This window comes from Homo sapiens, chromosome 9 (genome assembly GCF_000001405.40).
Source record: "Homo sapiens chromosome 9, GRCh38.p14 Primary Assembly".
NCBI lineage: Eukaryota > Metazoa > Chordata > Mammalia > Primates > Hominidae > Homo > Homo sapiens.
The window spans coordinates 116,986,607-117,009,653 of record NC_000009.12 but is presented as its reverse complement, the minus strand read 5'-3'; the positions used below and the strand labels follow the sequence as shown (position 1 = coordinate 117,009,653).

Below are 23,047 nucleotides of genomic sequence, written 5' to 3'. Positions count from 1 at the left end.
GAGTCATGTTAATTATAAAATACAATTTAAAGTCTCCTGCTGCTGCAGTCTCTAGATCTGCCATCAGTCTAGACTCACGCTCCCTGTCCAGCTTTGTGAAGCCTGGTTCTGTTTGGGTACATATTTTTCCCCCTGTGAAATTCTATCTTTGTTTTGTTTTATTGCTATACATGCATACACTCACCATTTGCAACTTACATGCAGCCATCCTGAATGGGCTTCTGTTTCTTGCCTCCCAAAAAAAGTGTGTGTGTATGTATATGTGTGTGAACATGTGCATGTATGTGGAATATCTACATAGATTATTATTATACATTTATATGTAATATAGTACTATATAATATATGTATGTTTCCACATATATGTGGGATAAGGAACATTTTAGAGCAAATATTGGCCTACGCAAGTATTCAAGAAGAAATGTTAGCCATCAGAAATGTTGAAAAATTGGTTGATAATAATAAAAATGTTAATATTTAGCTTCTCCTGAAGAAAATCTGAAGATCTAGTGCCACTAGCCTTTAGTTCCATGTGGCAAGAGCTGCTGGAGCTGAGTCATAGCTGCTCCATTTTAATGGAGCCTACAGTGTTTATTGTGTCCCAAACCCCACCTTCTCCTTCTCCCTATTGTTTTGCCACATCAGGGCATTTTTTTCTTGGGTGAGTGCTGCTCTTTTCCTTAGAGGTGCTGGGGATTTCTTTGGAAATCTCACTTTGTCTCCGTTTTCTCTATCTCAGTCTGTCTCTCTATATCTTTCTGTCTTTCTTATAATAAAACAAAAACAAACAACACAAGCTAGGTGAGGAGGCCTGGATGCTATTTCCCTCACACTCAGCCAGTCTTTCCTATTGATGTTAGCCACCTGGCCCCTGTGGACATCAATGACCCCTGTTCCAGAGGAGACATCTGAGTGACAGGGACATTAGCTTTTTTCTTTTCCTTTGAAATTTAATGTTTAATCATTATTTCCTATAATAAGTCAGGTGCCAGCTCAGCATTTTATCTACATGAATTTATTTCATTCCCCTATCAACTCCATGAGGTACATTCCATTAATATTCTCCTTTACAGAGGAAGTAACCAAGACCCAGGGGCACTTTGTGACTTGCCCAAAGTCAATGCCTAGTAAGGGCAGATTCTGAATTTGACCCTACTTCCCTCTCAGTCCTAAGGGCCTATCTTTCATCACTAGGTTGAATTATCTCCCATGTTTGATTTGCCTCTATCTCCCTATGGGCTTGCAACACCATGACGGGCACATTGCAAGTGCACTTAGACAAATGAGATCAGATGACCTGGGGAACGTGGCTTGTACACACCTTTCTGTGTTCTGTAGCATCAGCTAAGACCTTAAAATCAGTAAGAAAGTATCTGTCTCTCCGTTCACCCATAGGAAGCAGCTTCGTGGTGAGTGAAGGGAGCTACCTGGACATCTCCGACTGGTTAAACCCGGCCAAGCTTTCCCTGTATTACCAGATCAATGCCACCTCCCCATGGGTGAGGGACCTCTGTGGACAAAGGACGACAGATGCCTGTGAGCAGCTCTGCGACCCAGAAACCGGTGAGCCATGGGAGCCGGGATGGGGATAGAAGGTGGGAGAGGCTGGGTTGAAAGAGGCATTGTGCTCCCTCTACCTAAAGAACCATGGATTCTGAGCCATTGACAAGTGGCTGAATAAGAAGGCCCATCAATCTAATAAACACTAATGTATGTGCTGCCATTGCCTTTCAAGGGGGGAAATTCTTAGAGAGCCACAGACTCTCAGAGTAAGAAAGGACCACAGAGAACATCTGGCCTAGCTCCAGACAAGCAAAATGTCTGCACTTCAGATATCCCTGCATTCAGAGCCTATCTTCTTGGTACTAGCTGGGTGATCTTGAGCAAGACACTGCCTACCTTTCAGTACAAGAGAATGAAAATAGCACCAACCCACAAAACTGTCATTAGGATTGAATGAGAAGCTGTGTGGAAATCTCACAGCATATTCATTAATTCACTCAACAGGTATTTCTTTAGTAGCCAGGCATATTTTTAGGTATTGGGAAGACAGCAGTGATCAAAATATGCAAAATCTCCACCCTCATGAAGCTTACATGCTAGTGGGGTAGACACTAAACATGCACTGTGGAATATGGTAGCCACTAGCTACATGTGGCATTTTATTTTAAATTAATTGAAATTAAATAAAAGTAAACATTCATTTTCCCAGTCATACCACCCAGATTTCAAGTGTTCCATAGCCACACACTAGCAGCTACATTGTTGCACAACATAGATATAGAATATCTTCATCACTCTGAAAATTTCTATGGGACAGTGCTGCAGTGGTCAAACAAGCAGGTAAATTATATGACTCTGTTAGGTGATGATAGATGCCGGTGTAGGGGAAAAGAATGATGTACAAAGCATGTGGAGTGCTAAGCTGGGAGTTTGGGTGGAGTTTCATTATACAGAAAGTGGTCAGGGGAGGCCTCTCTGAGAAGATGACATTTGAGCACACACCTCAAGATGGGAGAATAAACCATGTCAATATCCGAGGGACGTGTTCCAGGCAGAAGGAGGTAAAAGAGTCAGTGGCGTGATCTCGACTCACTGCAACCTCCGCCTCCCAGGTTCAAGTGATTCTCCTGCCTCAGCCTCCTGAGTAGCGGGGATTACAGGCACGCATCACCACACGTCGCTAATTTTTGTATTTTTAGTAGAGATGGGGGGTTTCACCATGTTGGTCAGGCTAGTCTTGAACTCCTGACTTCATGATCCGCCCACCTCGGCCTCCCAAAGTGCTGGGATTACACGTGTGAGCCATCACGCCCAGCCTAATGTGCTGTTTATTTAGCACTAGTAGTGGGGCCAGGATGGGGAGTGAGAAAGAGGGGGAGTAGGAGAAGAAAGCTGAGAAGAAGAAGTTTGGGGGCATGGTGGTCCTCAGGGCCTTGTATACTATAATATGGACTTCAGATTCTACTCTGAGGAAGATGGACAGTCCTTGGGAGATTCTCAGTAAAGAAGCAACATGCTATGACCTGCATTTGAATAGGACCATTCTGGCTGCTGTGTGGTAAGTTGATTCAGGGGTGTTCAAAGGCCCTATTACTCTAATCTAGGCAAGAGTTGGTAGTGGCTTGGACCATGGAGGTAAGAGAAGAAGATGGTGAACAGTGATCAGATTCTGGATACATTTAAGAGTATACCCTCAACAGAATTTATTACTGAGAATAGAATGCAAGAAATAGAGTGGAGTCAAAGATTATCCCAAATTTTTCAGTCTGAACAATGGGACACATTGAGTTACTATTTACTGAGTCAGGGGATGCAGTGGGAAGGTCAGGGTTGGGTGAGGAAGATAAAGAGTGTTGTTTTGGGTGTAAGTTCAAGATGACTACTAAACATCAATGGAGAATGGGCATTTGGGTCCTGATCTAAGAGCCCCCTGCTAAATTGGGGTTCCAGTAGTAGAACCTCTAGCAACCCTGCCAAAATGGGAAATAAAGTGGGGCTGGGTGTGGGTGTTTACAGTGTGCCCTTCATGGGATACTTCTTTTACCTGGTGGGCACCCTAAGATCTGGTTGTCTGATGGTGACCCAGGAGTCCCTCACACAGGAAGTTTGATTACACTGGCTGCCACCCTTGGTGGTTTTTCTAACCTGTGTGCAGTTAATGCCTGCCTGACCATCAGTCTGGTGCTGGGAGCCTGCACTTGTGTTCTCCCCAACATCCAGGGCCTAGGATAGCCCCTGCTTCTTCAAACAGAAGGCACAGATTCAATTAAACACCACAATGGGAAACAAGTTCAAGGATTAATTACTTACAGATCCTGAGTCAGGAAGGCAATCTTCTGTCCCTGGGTCACAGGAAGCAAGACAGGAGTGAAGAATCAGGCAGAGAGAGAGACAGAGAGAGAGAGAGAGAGAGAGAAGTATGTACTGGGGAATAGGATATGGGTCACTTTAAGTTCATGAGCAAATGTCTGAATGATACCTGTAAAGGAAGTGACAAGAAAGCAGGAAGCCCATCTGCTAGGTGGGAAAGATGCCTCTAAGTTCTTATCTCTGGCCACTGGCTTGGGCCATTTTGGTGTGGTGGTCTGCTTCTGTTGTCCAGGCAGCCACCTTTGCTGTGTCATTTCCATTGCAGGCACGTACCTGGATTGACCACATTGAGGAACTGGAAGGAAGTGTACAACTATAAATTTTGTCAAGGATGACTGAGCCCTACTTCTGATGGAAAAAATTAAACTTGTATTTTAAATGGGTGCCAAGACAACATAAAATTATAAGAACTCTCGCCTGTAATCCCAGCACTTTGGGAGGCCAAGACAGGTGGATCACTAGGTCAGGAGATCAAGACCATCCTGGCCAACATGGTGAAACCCTGTCTACTAAAATACAAAAAAAAAAAAATAGCTGGGCTTGGTGGCACATGCTTGTAGTCCTAGCTACTCAGAGGTTGAGGCAAGGGAATTGTTTGAACCCAGGAGGTGAAGGTTATAGTGAACTGAGATCATGCCACTGCACTCCAGCCTGGTGACAGAGCAAGACTGTGTCTCAAAAAAAAAAAAAAAAAAAAAAAATCGACTACAGGTCCACAACTCAAATTCAAAGAAGAAGTCTTAGCTGGGGATAGAAATTTGCTAGTCTACAGCATCTAGATGACATTTAAACCCATGAGACACTATCTTATTTATACTAAATGCTCATTAAATGGGTAGTATCTTATTCATAGTTGATACTCAATAAATGATGTTCTTATTGTCCTCAAATAGAGAACAGGAGCCAGAAAGAAAAAGGAACTTACCAAGGTTTCAAAGCAAGTTACAAGTGAAGCCAGGATTAGAACCTCAGGTTTCCTTACTTTCAGTCTTCTGCTTCCCCCTATAATTGTTATTGGTCTGTTTTCTCTGGAACTTCATCTTTCTCTCCATTCACAAGAGTCTGGCTGGCTTGCACGAAAAACTGGTTACGTGAATACCATGACAACAGCCTCTGTGCAGAGGTCAGAGGTCTCAGTGCTCAGTGTAGTAGTCCAGGTCAAGGATCTCCTCCCTCTATTTGAGGATTTCTTCACCTCTCAATGGGACACCTGTTCAGAAGTAAGGAGACGACTTCTCCAGGTTAACTTTTGTGTCTCTGCCAGGTAGGGCCATGATTTGGCTTTATAACCGCCATTCCCTCTAATTGTTTAGTCAGGAGCCTGTTTCAGCATATTTTTTGTAGCCTCTATATAGGCCAACTGGGCCAGGTGCGATGCCTCACACCTGTAATCCCAGCACTGAGAGGCTGAAGCAAGTGGATCGCTTGAGCCCAGGAGTCCAAGACCAGCCTGGGCAACATAGTGAAATCTTGTTTCTACAAAAAAATACGAAAATTAGCCAGGCATGGTGACACATGCCCATAGTCCCAGCTACTCTAGAAGCTGAGGTGGGAGGGTTGCTTGAGTCCTGGAAGTCGAGGCTACAGTTAGCCATGATCATGCTACTGCACTGTAGCCTGAGCAACAGAGTGAGACCTTGTCCCAAAAATCAATCAATAAATAAATAGCCCAACTGGAGAAGCTATGTGAAAATGTAACACAGCTCTTATGCATCATATGACCAGACAGCCAAGCTTCTTTTTTTTAATCAAGATATTTAAGCTTTAAGTCACTGCCACCCTAACCAGTACCCCAACACGCAAAACACACACACACACACACACACACGCGCGCGCGCGCGTGAAAGAAACACAAATTCTAGGATATTCTTACCCAAAAGCCAGGTAAGCCCTTGTGGGATTATATATCTCTGCATCTGGCCCCTTAGATTTTTTTTTCCATTATTTTTCCTTGAAAAGGAAGCAAGATTATTGGTGGAAGGAACAGAAGGGGTCCCCTTCTTTGCCTCCATCTGTGAAGCCCAGTAGACAAGTGGTGAGTGCCTGTGGGTCTGACCTTCTAGCTCCCCAGCTGATCTGCTTTCAGGTGCAAGTTTGTGGTTTCTAATGCTGTTCTCCATTAGACACAGGCTTGAGGGCATAATTCTAAACAGCGGGTCATCCAAGGTGTGTGTTAGCCAGTTTGAAAAATAAGGCACTCTTCCACCAATAGCCTCTAGATTTAAATACACACACACACACACACACACACCACTCTTTAGAGCTGGAAATATCACTGGAATCCACTAGGTCCACCTCCTCAACTTCATGGCTGATTCTACTGCCGCCCAGAGAAGACAGGGGACAGGACGAAGATCACACAGCTGGCAAACTGCAAAGCCAGGATATAAAGCCAGGTTTCCATGCCTTCAACCAGTGCTTCTGAAACCTCAGCAGGTCTGGAGTTAAGCCTGAGGTTCTGCATTTCTAACAAGCTGGGAGCTGTTGCTGATGCTTCTGGCTCAAGGACTACCCTGTTGCAGCAAGGCTCTGAACACTCCCAAATAGTCCACCCGTGTTCTGCACTCACAGGGGATGACTCAGTTGCCAAATTTGTTAGTTTAATTATCTTGACAAAACTGTGTCTGTTTCTTTCACCTCATCTTCTGCCTGTATTTGCCTTGTGTCCTGGGTTCTAGGTACACTACCCATGTGCAGTTTCCTGAAGGCACCATGCCCTCGCATGCCTCTGTCCCTTTCACAGAAAAAGAAAAATGTCTTTTTCCTTTTAATGGGAGAGCAAGGGCTTCTTTTTATTTCCTACACGTTCAGCCCAAACACTTTTCCTCCTACAGGTGGCATTCCTGAACCCCTCTCTCTAGCCCTGAACAGATGAAGGGGCCCTCCCACCTACTGTCATAGCCTTCTGTGCTTCCATATGTCATGGCTTTGTTCCTCTATGGAGTCATTGTTCTTTCCTTGTCTGGAACTATCACCAGACTGTAAACTTTGCTGGAGCAAGGCGGGAGGTTCAAGATGTCTGTTTCACTTTTCTTGCTATCTTTAAAATTCAGCATAATGCCTGACATGTAATTAAGAGACAAAGAATAATACAAGCAGGAAGGAAGAACGGAATTTTCCTCCTGATGCTTCTTGAAACAATTGTATATACCAATTCTAGTTTTTCCCCTTTTATCCATTTACATAAGAACTCAAGTTAAATATTTTGCAGATCTAGAAAAACTGGGTCGCCAACAACTGTGCAGCATCCATGTATCTGAATTCTAGGATACCCTGGTCTTACTCTCTTATTCCAACACATCTCCAACATCATCCCTCTTTCCATTGCTTACTCTGCTCATACTCACAATTATTCCCCAAACATTCCCATGTAGTTTCACCTTCTGACTAGAGTTCAACTCGTCTCTCCACCTGAAATGTCTTCCACCCTTTAATCATCTACCTTCCACAATCCTACTCATTTAATTTCTTCTTACTTCTTCTCAGTAGAATGGATTACTTCTTCTACAGAATCATCAGAGTTCTTTGTTGACTAAAAACCAGATTAAAACTTGAGTTACTGTTTGAAAGTTTATCTCCCCTGCTAGAAAGTCAACTCCTTAGGGCCAGAGATCATATTTATTCCTATATTCTTTCCACCGCAATGCCCAGCAAAGCACCTTGCTCTAAGTCACTCAAGGCATAAATGGATAGGACTGTCTACAGGTAGAAAATTGAAATAGGAACATAAGATCCCTAAATATATTTTCATGGGGCTTAACTCAGATCCACTTTGTAAAATTTAGTTCAATTCATTAGATTCAATTCAAGCAAGATTTTCTTAATTCTGCAACTCATAAGTCGGTGTGTTGAGTGTTATGGGAAATCACAGACAAATTGCACAATATTCTTACCTTCATGGATTTTACATTCTCACAGGTATAAAAATAATCTGCTCATATATAGCTATTATCAAAAACACAGTGTAGTATAAATCAAGAGCAATGCATTAACAAAGTGCCCCATGCCTGAAGAACAGGGAGAAATGTATTCTAGATGGGGATTTCAGGAGATACATCATGAAGAAGATGACCTTTCAGCTCAGCTTTGTAAAATCAATAGGGACTATGAGTATGGAGGGTGCTTTAGCAGAGGGAACTTGATTTTTTGAAAAACAGAAAAGTTTATAATGATTCTAGGACTCAGAGGTCAGTTTAGTTGTACTGCACCCTCTGGAGAATGAGGTGCAGGCAGAGCACTGGGAGAGTGGCAGGGGATGAGGTTGGGAAGGTAATATGAAGAGAGGTCATTAAAAGGTAAGGATCCAAAGACTTTGAGAACATCTGTTCTCACAAGCAGATGAGTCCACCTGTTTTGGAGAGCATCTAACTCCCTAAAAGAACAGCTAGAACTTTCTCCACTCTTTGCTTCCCATCAGGAATTAGAATTTGGGGAAAGTCATGGAAAAACTAAACCCTGAAGCCCTATGTATATTTAGGTCTTGATATGTCAAAAGTGGCTTAGCTTCTTTTAAAGAAGTCTCTCCTTTGTGAGTCAAATCTGTAGAGCTGGACAGAGTCATGGAGTCAAAGCACTGGTTATCATTCCTTAAAGCTTTTCTGGATGTGTTGATAAGAAAAATTTTTTCTCCCAAGTGACAGGGAAGGAGAAGGAAAGTGGAGAAGATGCTACAGCTGAAACATATATATAATTGTCTTGGTGCACAGATGAACCTGGCCAAGTTTTCCTGGCTGCATGCCACAGCCCATTTCCAGTGTGTTTTTCCAGGGATTTCAACAATTAGTGCCACCCACAGGGATGACTCTGGAATTAGATCTGTGATGTGCTGGAGCCAGCTCACATGGCATCATGAGAGTTGACTGTTAACATCTTTTCCCAACTCTTTGTTCAGTGATGGCATGTTGATAGCCTGAAAATATGCTATGGTGAGGATGTTTACACCAACACAATTGGTAAATGCAACAAAATCAGAGTTTATTTTTTTCAGAAAGACAATCATTAAACATTTACCAGCACAACACTGGATGAGATGAGAACAAACCAATGAAAGACCAAGGCAAAAAAGTGGCTAGTGGAGGCTTGAACATGTCACCAGAGTGACATTATGCTCCTTCCCAGGACAGACTACCATTATCTTCATCTCTCTGAGGACAGAAAGTGAACATCCAAGGACTACTTGCTCTGGTCCAGTAAAATGCAACACCACACAGTTTAAATCATTAGGCTTTGACTCTCAAGAATATCAATGTGGGTAATGTCTTATTGCGAAACAGCTTTATTAAAGTTCTGCACATCTGTGGCATCACACCAAGTTCTGTAAATAAAACCTTTGACAATATGGTCTACAACACATAAAGCAAATGACAGCGGAACACTAACTCATTCTTTCATATGTTTATTCATTCATTCAAGCATGTAGTGAACCACAGTAGAATTGGGATATCTTCCTGAGTCAGACACAGCCAGGTTTAAATTCTCTCTTCTCTGTTTCCTGGTTGTAGGGAGCTTGGTAAGTCATTTAACATATTCAAGCCTTATTTTTTATAACTAAAAATGAGAAGAATAATTTCAACTTTTTAGAGTTGTCATAAGGATGAGATGAAAAATAAAATTTAAAATGCACTGGTGCAGTGGATAATATATGGTGGAAACCCAATACAAGGTTTTCTCTTATTTCTATAATCATTTATTCAGTCATGTGTATCTTCACTTATTAATTCAATAAATATTTCATGAGACGTTTAATCCAACAATGTGCATAACATTAGATTATGTGAGAAGAAAATATGATATCATCTCTGCTAACCAGCTAGTAGCTAACCAGCTGAAGGAGGAATTTAGAGTAAGCTAGACATTTCTATCTGCTGAACTTTTATTTAGTCCTTGTGTGACTTCTGAACTTTTGCAATGAAAAAAATTACTGGCCAGGCATGGTGGCTCGTTCCTGTAATCCCAGAACTTTGGGACGCTAAGGCAGGTGGATCACTTGAGGCCAGGAGTTCGAGACCAGCCTGGCCCACACTGTGAAACTCTGTCTCTACTAAAAATACAAAAATTAGCTGAGCGTGGTGGTACATGCCCATAATCTCAGCTACTTGGGAGGTTGAGGCACAAGATTTGCTTGAGCCTGAGAGGCGAAGGTTGCAGTGAGCTGAGATTTCACCAGTGCACTCCAGCCTGGGTGACAGAGTGAGACTCTGTCCAAAAAAAAAAAAAAAAAAAAAAAAAAAAAAGAAAGAGAGAAAGAAAGAAAGAGGAAAGAAAGAAAATAATTACTAACCTTCAATCTTCAACCCTCATGTCAACTTTGCCACAAATTTGCCAGTCGACCTTGAGTATGTTACATACCGTGAACTTCAGATTCCTTCTCTTCAACAAAGCAATGAGTGGGGACATACTTTTAGTGCAAGAAGAGTTCCTAGCCATCATCTAGTGTAATCAAATGAGGAGACCAAGACCCACCAAGGCTAAGCACATTGCCCTGTGTCACACCGTAAATTAGTGGCAAGATACAAATTAAAAGTCTAAATAATTTCTAGGATATTCTCCGCTCAAAATCCATGTTTCTATGACCTTTTAAGCACTAATAACTTAGCATGTAAGTATGATTGAAACAATTTGTAAATGGCATTTATAGCAAATTGAATTTTCTTTCCACAATTGATATGAACTTCAGTCATGTTCACCATTACATTCAGTTTATTTCCATGTCTTCAGCAGCCACTTTTCATTTGTAGTAGGATATGAAATGAGAATACACTGTATGTGGTTATGTCATATAGCAATCTTATATTGTACTAAATATTTCTAATGTTTACAGATTGTTTCTAGTATTTGCTGAGCTCTGTGTTACTAAAGTTTAAAGGGATACAGGATTTTTATGAAGCTATAAATTCCAAGAATCTACAGTGATGGAGAAATTCCCTGTTTTGAAGGAAGTGGTATCTTTAGGGCTTTCTATGTGGTAGAGCATATATATTGAAGTATGGCAATAAGTAGGTAAAATCCACAGTAAGATATGCTGATATTTGTTTATAGAGAACCAACTTTCTGGCAGACTGTAGAGGGGACATTTGTATATGGGTATATACATTATAAAAGTCTTGGTCTTTGCTCACCTTGTTTATTGCTGTATCTGGAAATGAAACAGTTCCTGTATCAATACATCTTTTCTTGGATGCATGGATGCATGGATGTATGGATGGATGTATGGATGGATGGATGGATGGATGAAAATCAAATTTCAGCTGCTAAAGTGTCAAGGCTTGTTCAATGAGTAAGGTGTAGGCTTCTTGTGTCAGCACCATGGAGAGTTCTCAGGGTGCTGACAACACTCTGGCTAAAGTGTGTGTTTGCTAAATAAAGACTTGCTCAGAGATACCTAATCCTTTTCTGAAACTCACCTTTTCCCCTGACTTGGGCAGCACTGGTCTTTTCTGAACTCAAATAAGGTAAATTCTGTCCTTTATATGTTCAGAATTAGTCATATACAAATGAGTCCAGAGAGCCTCAACTGGGGATATCCTCCATGAAACGAGTCCCTCTGATCCTCAGAACCCATATTGCTCTCCACCTCACCACTCATTTGTCATGAATTTTACTAGAACCTGAATTAAACAGAAGTCATCTGAACTTATTATCGATTAACGAACATGATACTTTGTTATTCAGGCATGAAAGATAATGGAATTAAGCTTTTTAAAATATTTTCCAACAAAAGTAATTGAAATGACAAGAAACCAAAGTTTTCTGCTTACATTCCATGAAACAAGTCAGTAACTCATAAATCCCATTTCTCTCATCAGATTAATCCATTCAATGCAGATTCATTATCTATATATAGCAGATGGAGTGTTAGACAACAGCCAAATACAGCCAATAGTTAAAAGAGGTACAATGGAATTTTGGTGAGATATCAAGAAGTACATGAACATTGAAGTGACAATAACAACATCTAAAATTATTAGGCACTTATTGTGTACCAAACACCATGCAAAGACTTTATATAGCTATTCTCAGTTATTATAATAACACTTCTAGGTAGTTATTTTTGCTTCAATACAAGTAGCTATGTCTTAAAGTAGTTGATTGACATTCTCAAGTTCATATATTTACTAAGTATTACTGCTGGGATTTGGCCAAGCTACTGTTTTAAGGAGTTAGCATGTGAGGAAATTTGCTTAGCATTGAGAAAAGAGAGGCATTCTGGGATTCCCCCTTTGATAGGTATTTGTATAGAATTCTCAGAGGCAGGCATGAATCCTTTGGACAAAGAATTTACTGAATAAGTTGACTTGAAAAAAACAAAAATACTGAATTGAATTGAGGGCAGGGAAACAATACAGAACTGAGAGGTAGAAGGAACTGTGACAGCATGTATGGGTTGTAGGGAAACTACTTTTTATCTCTGTTTGGTAGTCTTGATATATTTGGTTTAAATGTGTTGTAAAATGTTATGTTGTAGAAGATGTTTAAGGTCTTTTAAGAAAGGACAATCTGTGTCTAGGATGAGGTCATAAAATTTCAGGGAGCCTGCAAAGCAAGCACCAGGCCTGACTGTTCAAAAATTTAGAAGGTCAAGAAGGTTAGGGTAAACTACAAAAGAGACTATGAAAACTTTTTCTTATTGGGAACTTGCCAGTCCCATTGAAAGTCCAAGGCAACCTTTGCTTCTGAACTTGAAAGAAAAAAGGTTGTCAGAGATCTGAAATCTCACACCACAAAGCTGCATATAGGAAGAAGGTAGCCTCAGGTATTTCTGATGATTATAGGTACCAAAAAGGGGAAGTGCTCAGCTTTTAAGACCAGATTTTAACATCATAAATATAATCTACTGACATTTAAATTAGAGACTATATTTAATTTTATCTAAAAAATGTGTTAAAAAATATATTGGTCTTCTAAAAATGGCATATGTCCTACTATTTAAAAAATAAATCCAGGAAGGTTCTAAATATATATGCAAAACCTTACAATAAATATATTATCAATAAACAAATGTATGGAAAAAAAGATAATAATGAAGCCTAGGTTGGAATTGAGAGTGTTATTAGGATATAAAGCCATGTTGTAAAGAGTTCCATATTTGTTAATGGGGAGTCATTTCTTCTAGCCAATGTAATAGAGTTAGTGATGGTGCTGTTTCTTCTGCATGGGACAATCTGTTCCTCATCCAGCCCCACTTCTTATAAACTGTATTCTTTAGTTGGTTCACTCCTCCTTATCTTTCTTGTTTCAACTTAAAATGTCACTTCCTCAAGGAAGTGACTTTCTGTACTAGTTTATTTCCCCAATGCATTATGCTCCATTGGTGCTATTTTTCCTTTATAGTAAATAGTAATAATGGTGCACATTTATACAGTGATAACTGTCAGCCACTCTTCAAAGCCTTCACATATATTATCTCATTTAATCTCTCAATAATTATATGAGGTAGATGTGATTATATTTTAAATAAATTAAGACACATACACATATGTATATAGTTTATGTACCACTAAGAAAAAATACTGCCAATAATAATAATCATACTATACCATACTATACTAATAATTATCAGATAAGTCCTCAATTTAGGAATATTAAAATATGGGGGCTGGGTGTGGTGGCTCACACTTGTAATCCAGCACTTTGGGAGGCCAAGGTGGGAGGATCACTTGAGTTCAAGTGAACTTGAGATCAAGTGAACTTGAGTTCAAGGTGGGAGGATCACAAGGAGTTCAAGACCAGCTTGGGAAACATAGTGAGACGCTGTCTCTAAAAAAATCTGAGAAAATTAGCTGGGCATGGTGGCATGCACCTGTAGTCCTAGCCACTTGGAGGCTGAGGTGAGCAGAGTGCTTGAGCCTAGGAGTTCAAAGTGTCAGTGAGCTATGATCACACCACTGCAATCCAACCTGGGTTACAGAGTGAGACTCTATATCTAAAAATAAATAAATAAAAATGGAAATAAAAATAAAATGTCAGAAGTTGCATGCCTTAGAATTAATGTAATGAAATAGTGTTATCGTCTCATTTTACAAGTGAGGAAACTAAATCACAGTTAATGGATTTTTTCCAAAGTCATTTAGGAAGTGATGGTGTCTAGATTTGAAACCTAGAAGTCTGGCCTCAGAATTTACCCTCTAAACCACAAGCCTATGCTATCAGCACATAATTACAACCTTGAATGATACATTTATTTGTGTCATTCTTTGTTCAATTGCTAGCTATCTAAAAAACTGTGTGCCTTATAAAGGCAAAGATTGTGTCTGCATTATCCACTGCTTTTTCCTCATACCCAACCCATTGTCTAACACACTGTTGATGTTTAAAAATGAATGGTGGAATTAGTACATGAAAGATGAAATATTGAATTCAGAGAAAAACTCCATGGCCTCTAATCCCAGCTTTGTAATTTACCCATAGTATGACCTTTGACAAGTCCCCTTTTCTCTATGGGCCTCATATTCTTTATTTATAATACAAAGAGCATTTCCATTAGATTTTCCCTGAGTACTCTCCAGCTCTGAAGTTCTGTATACTGAAAATCTTTATTGAAAGCCAGTGTTCTGGCTTTGAAATATGTAGAATGAAGAAGACCACTGATTCCTGATCTCTTGAAGGATAGATAACATGTGAACACATGAAACTTGTACTAACACAAGTGTTTACACTTAATAAGCATCTTGTGGTGGTCAAGAGCTTGCACTCTGGATTCAAATGGATGAAGATTCAAATCCCAGCCCACTTGGGTCCTGCACAAGTTTGGACACTTTGCTGACCCTTCCTACACTTCTGTTTTTCTCAGAGGTAAAATAGTGGTAAGAATATCAACATGGCAATCCTTGGAGGGTAATTATGAGGACTGAGCTAGATAAAGTGTATTATGCACTGAGCACAATACTTGGTACTTAAAGCTCAACAAACATTTGGTATTATTATAGCTGTGACTAAAACATGGATTGAGTGAAATGAATATATCCTAAAAAAGTTATTGTGAGCCTTAGCAATCAGGGAAGGCTTCCTCTGGTGGGGGTGGAAGATAATAGAACTGAATCATGAAGCAAGAGAATTATTGTGATAGAACTCCACTGTCCAATCCAGTAGCTGTTAGCCATTATTGGCCATTTAAATTAAAATGTAAATTAATTAAAATGAAATAAAATGTTAAATTTAGCTCCTCAGTCACATTCACCATATTTGAAATATTCAGCAGTCACATCTGGCTGGTGGCTTTCATATTGGAGAGATATAGAGCATTTCCATTGTTGCAACAAGCTCAATTAGACAGTGCTGTGACAGAGTAAAGAGCAGAACTATATTTCATATATATTTCATTTCATTCAAAATATTTATTGAGTGGCAATGCTGTGTTAGACACTGTGCTGTGTTTATGTACTGATATTCAACAGGAAGAAAATTCAGATCCACTGCCTTACCTAATAGTGTTTAGTCCAGTGCAGGAGTCAGCAAACTATAGCCTATAGGCCAACTGCTGTTTTTTTGTAAATTAGTTTTTATTTAAACACAGCCATGCTCATTAGCTTACATATTGCCCATGACAGCTTTTGTGCTACAACATCAGAATTGAGCAGTCACAACCCTATGGCTTGTAAACCTGAACATATTTGTCATTTGGCTCTTTACAGAAAAATTTTGCCAATTCCTGGTCTATTGAATTCATTTAATGTTTTGATGTCCAAGTTGAAAAAAATGGCTTTGGTATTTATTCATTCATTCATGTATTTGTTCACTGAACGTTCAGTATATATTTATCAAGCACCCAATTTAACCAGGATGTGAGGCTCTGACAGAAGAAAGAAAACAAAACAAAACAAAAAAATCCCTGCCACCATGTAACTTACATTCTTGCGGGGCAGGGGACAGGCACAGAGCTAAAATATATATAGTAATATAGTTAAAATATATATATATATATATATATATCATGTACATACTATATAAAGTATACTATATATAGTATGTTATATATAGTACATACATACATATATAAAGTGCTATATATATACTGTATATACATATATAGAGTATATGAATATGTAGAAATATATAATGTACTATATATAATATATGATACACTTTATCATGCTATTTACTAAATATATTTCGTTACTATATATGAAATATAGTAATTTATATATTTTATTACTATATATAGATACTGTATATAGTAACTTATGTACTTTATTCCTATATATAGTATCTATAGTAATGAAATTGTATTGCTGTATATACTATATATAGTAATAAAATTATAGTGAATAACGTGATAAAGTGTATCACATGTTAGAAGATGAGGGGTGTGTGTGTGTGTGTGTGTGAAGCCTGTAGAAAGAGGGGGCTGTACATGTTGCAGAAATGGTTGCAAATTTGAGCAGACTGTTCAAGACAGGCACAACCGAAAAGGTGTGGGAGCAAAGCATGCCTTGTGGATATCTGGGGAAAGCATAGTGTAGGTAAAGGGAACAGGCTGTGCAAAGGCTCACAGGGGTGATTGTGCCTTGCATATTTGAGGAAGATCATAGAGGCTAATGTGCTGGGTTGAACTGGGTACTAGAAGGATATTAGGAGATGGGATCCCAGAGCGTTCAGAGGGCCAGAACCCCTGGGTTGGCCTTGCAGAACATTGTAAAAACATTAGCATTTTCATTTGCCCTGAATGCAATGGGGAACCACTGGAGAAGTCTGAGCAGAGGGGTGACGTCATCTAACTTCTATTTTAAGAGTATCACTCTGGCATCTCTATTGAGGAAACATCTGTAGGAACAGAGGTAAACATGTTGGAAGGGAGACTGATGGGGAAGACTGATGTGATGCCAGAGATGGTGGTGGCTTGGATCAGGGTGGGAAAAGCCAAGGCAGAAAGAAGCATTCAGAATCCAGATATTGCATTTCATTCATTGCTATTATTTAGTGTGCATCACTTATGTGCCAGGCATTGTGCTCAGTATTGGAGGTAGTTAGCAAAAGAAGCTGCTGTCTATGCCCCAGGGAGGTTCTGGTGAACTGATTTCATGCTTTGACATCAGAGTTGAGGAACCTGCTCGTTGTGTGTCCCCCATGTGTTTGAGCCCAAGACCCAGTTTTTATACCATCTCTAAAGATAGGACCTAGGAGATGACAACACCAACTCAGGGTGAAAGGAGAAGAGAAACACTGAAGCAGGTATGTGATACAAGTGAGAGGGTGAATAGAGCTTTGCTGATCCTTTTGTCAAGCAGGGCTGGGACCAGAATGAACTGAATGAGGCACCTCAGGCAAAAACTTCAAGGAGGCACTCATTTTTAGGTGATAACCCTGTCCTTACACAATTCTACATGCCCTCTTAAATGTGGAGGGAAAAATATTAATTAATGACCCTTGCCTCTACCCCTTCTCCTGAGAAGCCTTTAAAGACTCTGCTGAGATAACAAGTAGGATTGGGCACTGTGGAGGCATATAACAAAAGGCTCCAGGGGTGGGAGGAGCCCTACAGATTATCTGGCCCAAGGCTTCCTTCTACACCTGATTAGCTTGAGGTTTTGGGAGGGTTCATTTAGTAATTCAGTAACTTAGTGGCAGAGAGGAGGCTGCAACACTACCATAATGGTGCTTAATTTTCTTCCTCTTGAGAACATATTAAGCAGTCAAAATATTTTATCCTTGGGATGTAAGCCCCCATCCTCCCAGCTCCAAACTTGAGCCATTACATTTTGCATGGCCTCTTGCCACATGTGAAGGTGGTGCTGGTTTCTGGCATTGCTTTTCTGGGCTTGTCTTGAAGGGATGTGCTCAGGTACGCTCATTCATATAAATAAGTGTTTCAGTGCAGAGGATCTGGGGCATGTGTGTTCCTCATAAGCTTCATTAATGTCTTTGTTTCATAGACATTGACTGAGCCTGAAGATTGAGTCAGTCACCAGGGAGAGAAGCAAAAGAGACACCACTGGCCCCTTCCAAGAGCTCATGATCAAGCTGCATGAATGCTGGGCTCTGTTTTGTTTTTTAGAGAGGCAGTCAGGGCAACATGGAAAGAGCCTAGGACTGAAATCAGACAGACCAGGGCTGAAATCTTGTCCTGAATGCAAGGGGGAACCACTGGTGGAGGCTGAGCAGGGGCTCTGCCCCTGACTCTGCCCCTGACTATTGGTATAATTTTGAGCAATTCACTTAATTTCTCCAAGCCTCAATTTTCTGCTTTTTTTTTTTTTTTTAATAAGAGGGAGAAGTATTCACCTTTGGTAAGTTATTGTGACGATTATTATCGGTACGAAGTATCTGCTACATTATATGGAAAAGATATGTGTTCAACATATGGGAATTATTGAATCAGGGACAAAAAGAACCCCCCAATGCTGGCAATACTTAACACACAAAAGACTTAATCATGATGAAATGGAAGGCATGATGACAGATTTCTGTGCAGAAGGGACCTCTAGGAAACCATTTGAAATGCAGCACTTAGCAGTAGCACTTGCCTTTTCTGGTTATTTGATACTGCCTGTAGGGAGTCTGCCCATTGCAGCACACTATCCTCTCTCCTTTTGCTAGACTGAAGGCAGCATTTGATTCAGTGTGGATGACTAAAGGCCTCTGAATAGAAGGAGGAGTATGTGTTTCTGTGTGTATGTGTGTGTGTGTGTCCCCACCTTTTGGCTACCGTGATGAATGGTCTGTTATGTCCCTGCCTTTTGGCTACGATGTTGAATGGTCTCTTAATTAAAATTTCACTAGATGGTTTGAGTTTCTACCAGAAAATGGGAGTATGTGATGGGCAGTTGGAGTATGGATTTACGTTGCTAACACCAGGACTCTTCCTTTGGACAGGGCATCCAGAATTCAAAATGTCCCACACAACTCAGGTAAGTTCAGGTGACCTTACCCAGTGTGGTGTGAACAGCCCATCACACTCTCCAATGGCCAGAAGTGAACCTAACAATGAAACCTGACTCTGTAGTGAAGCCTGATGCAGGCTGCTTAGACACACGTTGCTTAATTTTAATGACTCACAATGATTCTCCATTATATCCCAGGAAATGTACTGTAAAAATGTTTTGTAAAAGAATGAGAGCCTTGGTAATGGGAACCTGCACTGTTCTGCAATTAAATCATTGCCAGAAAGTGGGGGCTGTAGTGTGCTTGTTTGTTTGAGAGTGGTGCAAAGGCAGTGGAGTGAATGGAAGGGAAGACAAGGGAAGAGAAAGAAGGAAAATTAAAGAACTCTAAGAAAGGCTGGGTGTGGTGGCTTATGCACGTTATCCAAACACTTTGGGAGGCTGGAGGAGGCAGATCAATCACTTGAGGCCAGGAGTTAGAGACCAGCTTGGCCAGCATGGTGAGACCTCATTTCTACTAAAAAATAGAAAACTAGCCGAGCATGGTGGTGCATGCCTGTAGTCCCAGCTACTCGGGAGGCGGAGGCAGGAGAATCGCTTGAACCCAAGAGGCAGAGGTTGCAGGAGCTGAGATCGTGCAACTGCATTCCAGCCTGGGTGACAGAGCGAGACTTTGTCTTAAAAGCAAACAAACAAACAAAAGAACTTTTAAGAAGAAAGGAAGGGGGAAATTGATTTAACAGGAAATGACTGTACTCTTTTTTGGTGGCACCTTTATGTGCCATGTCTTATTTCATCTTCATATTGAACCTTAAAGAAGGCAGACCATACTTTTTTATATTTGTGGATAAGGAAATTAAAGTGGATTTGGGGATTTTACTTGGACCTCTCTGACTCTAAACTCAAGTTATTTTTACTGCAGAGCATTCTAAAAGAAAAGGAGACATAGAGAAAGACAAATAGTAAAGAACATAGACACACAGTGAGAAAGAAAAAACAGAAGCAGAGACCAAAGAGAGAAACCGAGGCTGTGACAAAAACAACGTTGAGAAACAGAAAGAGAGACAGAGATGAAGCAAAAGAGAGAAAACATAAAGCAGAAGCCTGTAATCCCAGCACTTTGGGAGGCCGAGGCAGGCGGATCACCTGAGGTCAGGTGTTTGAGACTAACCTGGCCAACATGATGAAACCCTGTCTCTACTAAAATTACAAAAATTAGCTGGGCCTGGTGGCGGGTGCCTGTAATCCCAGCTACTAGGGAGGCTGAGACAGGAGAATCACTTGAACCCAGGAGGTGGAGGTTGCAGTGAGCCGAGATTGCACAATTGCATTCCAATCTGGGTGACAAAAGCAAAACTTCATCAAAAAAAAAAAAAAAACCCAAATATAATCAGAAATGAGATTAGCAAAGTGAAAATTAGCTGGGTTCAGCTGAATGTACACATTACGTAAAATGGTATAATATTCCAGATGGAAGGGACTGGAAATGGCAATCCTCTTGTTTCCTGGGGAAGCTAGCTGTGACCCTGACCATCTGCCTGCAATTGAGGCTGAGGTCACTCTGAGAAAGGAACCCCTCAGAAAGAGCACACAATCCAGCTTCTCTTCTTTTTTCTCAAATTCCTAACTAGAGAAAAGCAAAGGTCCCTCTCCTCTCTGACCCCTTCTGGATCTCTAGACTGCCTTGTCTGATGCCATGGGCAGGACACACAGGTATGGCCCATTGCACTCAAAGTGCACTCTGGAAAATCATTAGTATTTTTGCTATAATTGTATAAATGGAATTTAATTTTAAATTCCCAAAGATAGCTGCTGCTTGGAAAAAAAAATGTCAATGAGTCTCTTCTGTGGAGTGAAGAACCCTTTTGCAAAATGAATAATTACTCTTGGCTTAATTTATTTTGTGTATTTCACTTTGCTGTTTCAGGTTTTGTTCAGGTGGGGAATTGAATTATTAATCATCATGTGTTCTGAATGGTTTAAGCATATATTTTATCCTCATGGCATTCTCATGAATAAGGGAGAACAGAGTTGTGTTCCCCATCTTTCAGGTCAAAATGATGAAACTCAGAGAGATGAGATGACTTGAGTAAGGCCACCCAGCAATTTGCAGGAAAAGAGAGCTCCAGGATCCCATGAAGTGGACAACCACATAGCAAGATCTCATCTACATTCCTTTAAGCTCCTATAGAAGTATGGTAGATGGCCAAGTAGGGTCACAAAGGGCATTTTGATGAGACACCGGGTTGTGCTGAGTTCATTCATTTTATATGGTACAGTTGAGGTGAGGGGCTCTGACTTCAGAGTCAAGCAGGTCAGGGTTCCAATCTTGACCCTGTTGCTTTCTTGCTATATGAACTGAGGTCAAGTCATTTAACACTTTGCGGCTTCAGTTTCCTCCTGTATAAAATCAGGACATGAGCACCCGCTTCACAGGGTGGTTAAGTGGATTGAAGGCAAAAAGGTGGATCAAAAGTGGTCATGATTAACAAACTTCATGAGCATCTCTTGGTATTTTCCTTTTTCTAAGTGATAACCAAGAGGTCTGGAATAAGAGCCATGGTCAGGAAAGCCACCAGCTCCCTAATAGTAGTCATAGCAATAGCAGGTGATACTTATGGAGCCCATTTTTCATGTTGCTCAATGAGAAGAGTGGGCATGATTAACTTAGAAATAAGGAAGCTGAGTCTTGGGTGGAGACAGGAAGTTTTACAAAGTCACTGAGCTATTGATTGGCAAATGCATATCTCTAATTCCATTCTGACTCCATTGCCTGTCTTCTCTACTTTTAAATTTGTCTCTCACCACCCTAACAACTGAATTCAGCATTTGAGAATGGCTATAGTAGTTCCCCCTCATCCACAGTTTCCTTTCTACAGTATCCGTTACCCACAGTCAACTGCGGTCTGAAAATATTAAATGGAAAATACCAGAAGTAAACAATTTATAACTTTTAAATTGGGCTGCATTCTGAGTAGTGTGATGAAATCTCACACAATTTTGCTCCATGCCACCAGGATATGAATCATTCCCTTGTCCATAGTATCCACGCTGTATATGCTAATTGCTGGTCATCACTTAGTAGCCATCTCAGTTATCAGATCTGTCAAGGTGTCACAGTGCTTGTGTTTGGATAATCGTTATTTTACTTAATTATGGCCCCAAGTGCAAGAGTAGTGATACCAGCGTATTGTTATGCTTGTTCTATTTTGTTTTTATTTATTGTTCTTAATCTCTTGCTGTGCCTAATTTATAAATTAAATGTTATCATGGGTATGTACATATAGGAAAAAACATAGTAAATATGGGTTCATTAATCTGTTCTCACACTGCTATAAAGAACTACCTGAGACTGGGTAATTTATGAAGAAAAGAGCTTTAATTGACTCACAGTTCCACAGGCTGTACAGGAAGCATGGCTGGCAGACCTCAGGAAACTTACAGTTATGGCAGAAGGTGAAGGGAAAACAAGCACAATCTTCACATGGCAGATCAGGAGAGAGAGAGAGTGAAGGGGGCCAGTGGAAAGGGTTGCCCTGGCTGAGAGTCTGGAGCAGGGGCCCTCATGGGACCTGGCTGGCAGCCTCTCAGCAGCCTGGCCACCCCACATGGGTTGCCCACATGAGCTGAGCCAACACCAATTAGTCCCCATTTATCCTTGTTTAAGGCTACACGCTTTTAAACAACCAGATCTCATAAGAACTTACTCACTATCATGAGAACAGCAAGGGGGAAGTCTGTCTCCATAATCCAATCACCTCCCTCTGGATCCTTCCCCCAGCACTGGGGATTACAACTCAATATGAGATTTGGTTGAGGACACAGAGCCAAACCACATCAGTAGGGTTCAGTACTATCCACAGTGTCAGGCATCCACTGGGTGGGTTGGAACTCATCTTGTAGATAAGGGGGCACAACTGTATTTTTGCAGAGGGGTTGTGGCAGTTTCCAGGGACTGCTTCTTCATACCTGCAGAACCAGGGCAGGATTCCTCAGTGCACATTAAGCCTTCTGGCTGTGCCTGCAGTATTCCCCACTGATCCAGCAAAGCAAAAGGGCCCACCATTTTCCAAGCACACTGTGGCCTGCTTTCATCCCTGTTGTTCTCTCTGTAAAACACTTAATTCTCCTGGAAAGGGAGTCAGTGCAGCCTGGGGACAGCAGAACCATCTCTGAAGCAGCACAGTTGCTGGATGGATTCCAGTTCTGGCTCTGGCACACTTGACTTTGTGACCTTCAGCAAGCAGGGTACTACCCCTCTGGGCCTCTGTCTGCTCGTCTGCAAGATGGGGTTAGTAATAGAGCCCACCTTGGTTTGTTGGAAGGATCATGTGAGTTAATCTAAACAAAGAACTTCCC

The 23,047-nt window shown here is 40.8% G+C and overlaps 1 protein-coding gene across 3 annotated transcripts in view; it reads left to right on the top strand.

Annotated features, from left to right (window-relative positions):
* The window catches only part of ASTN2 (astrotactin 2), a 991,946-nt gene that overhangs the window by 405,404 nt on the left and 563,495 nt on the right, over positions 1 to 23,047 (top strand). For all 3 annotated transcript variants that reach the window (NM_014010.5, NM_001365069.1, NM_001365068.1), the window contains one exon: positions 1,395 to 1,562. In NM_014010.5, coding sequence (NP_054729.3) covers positions 1,395 to 1,562 — 168 coding nt within the window. The remainder of the gene's footprint in view (positions 1 to 1,394; positions 1,563 to 23,047) is intronic.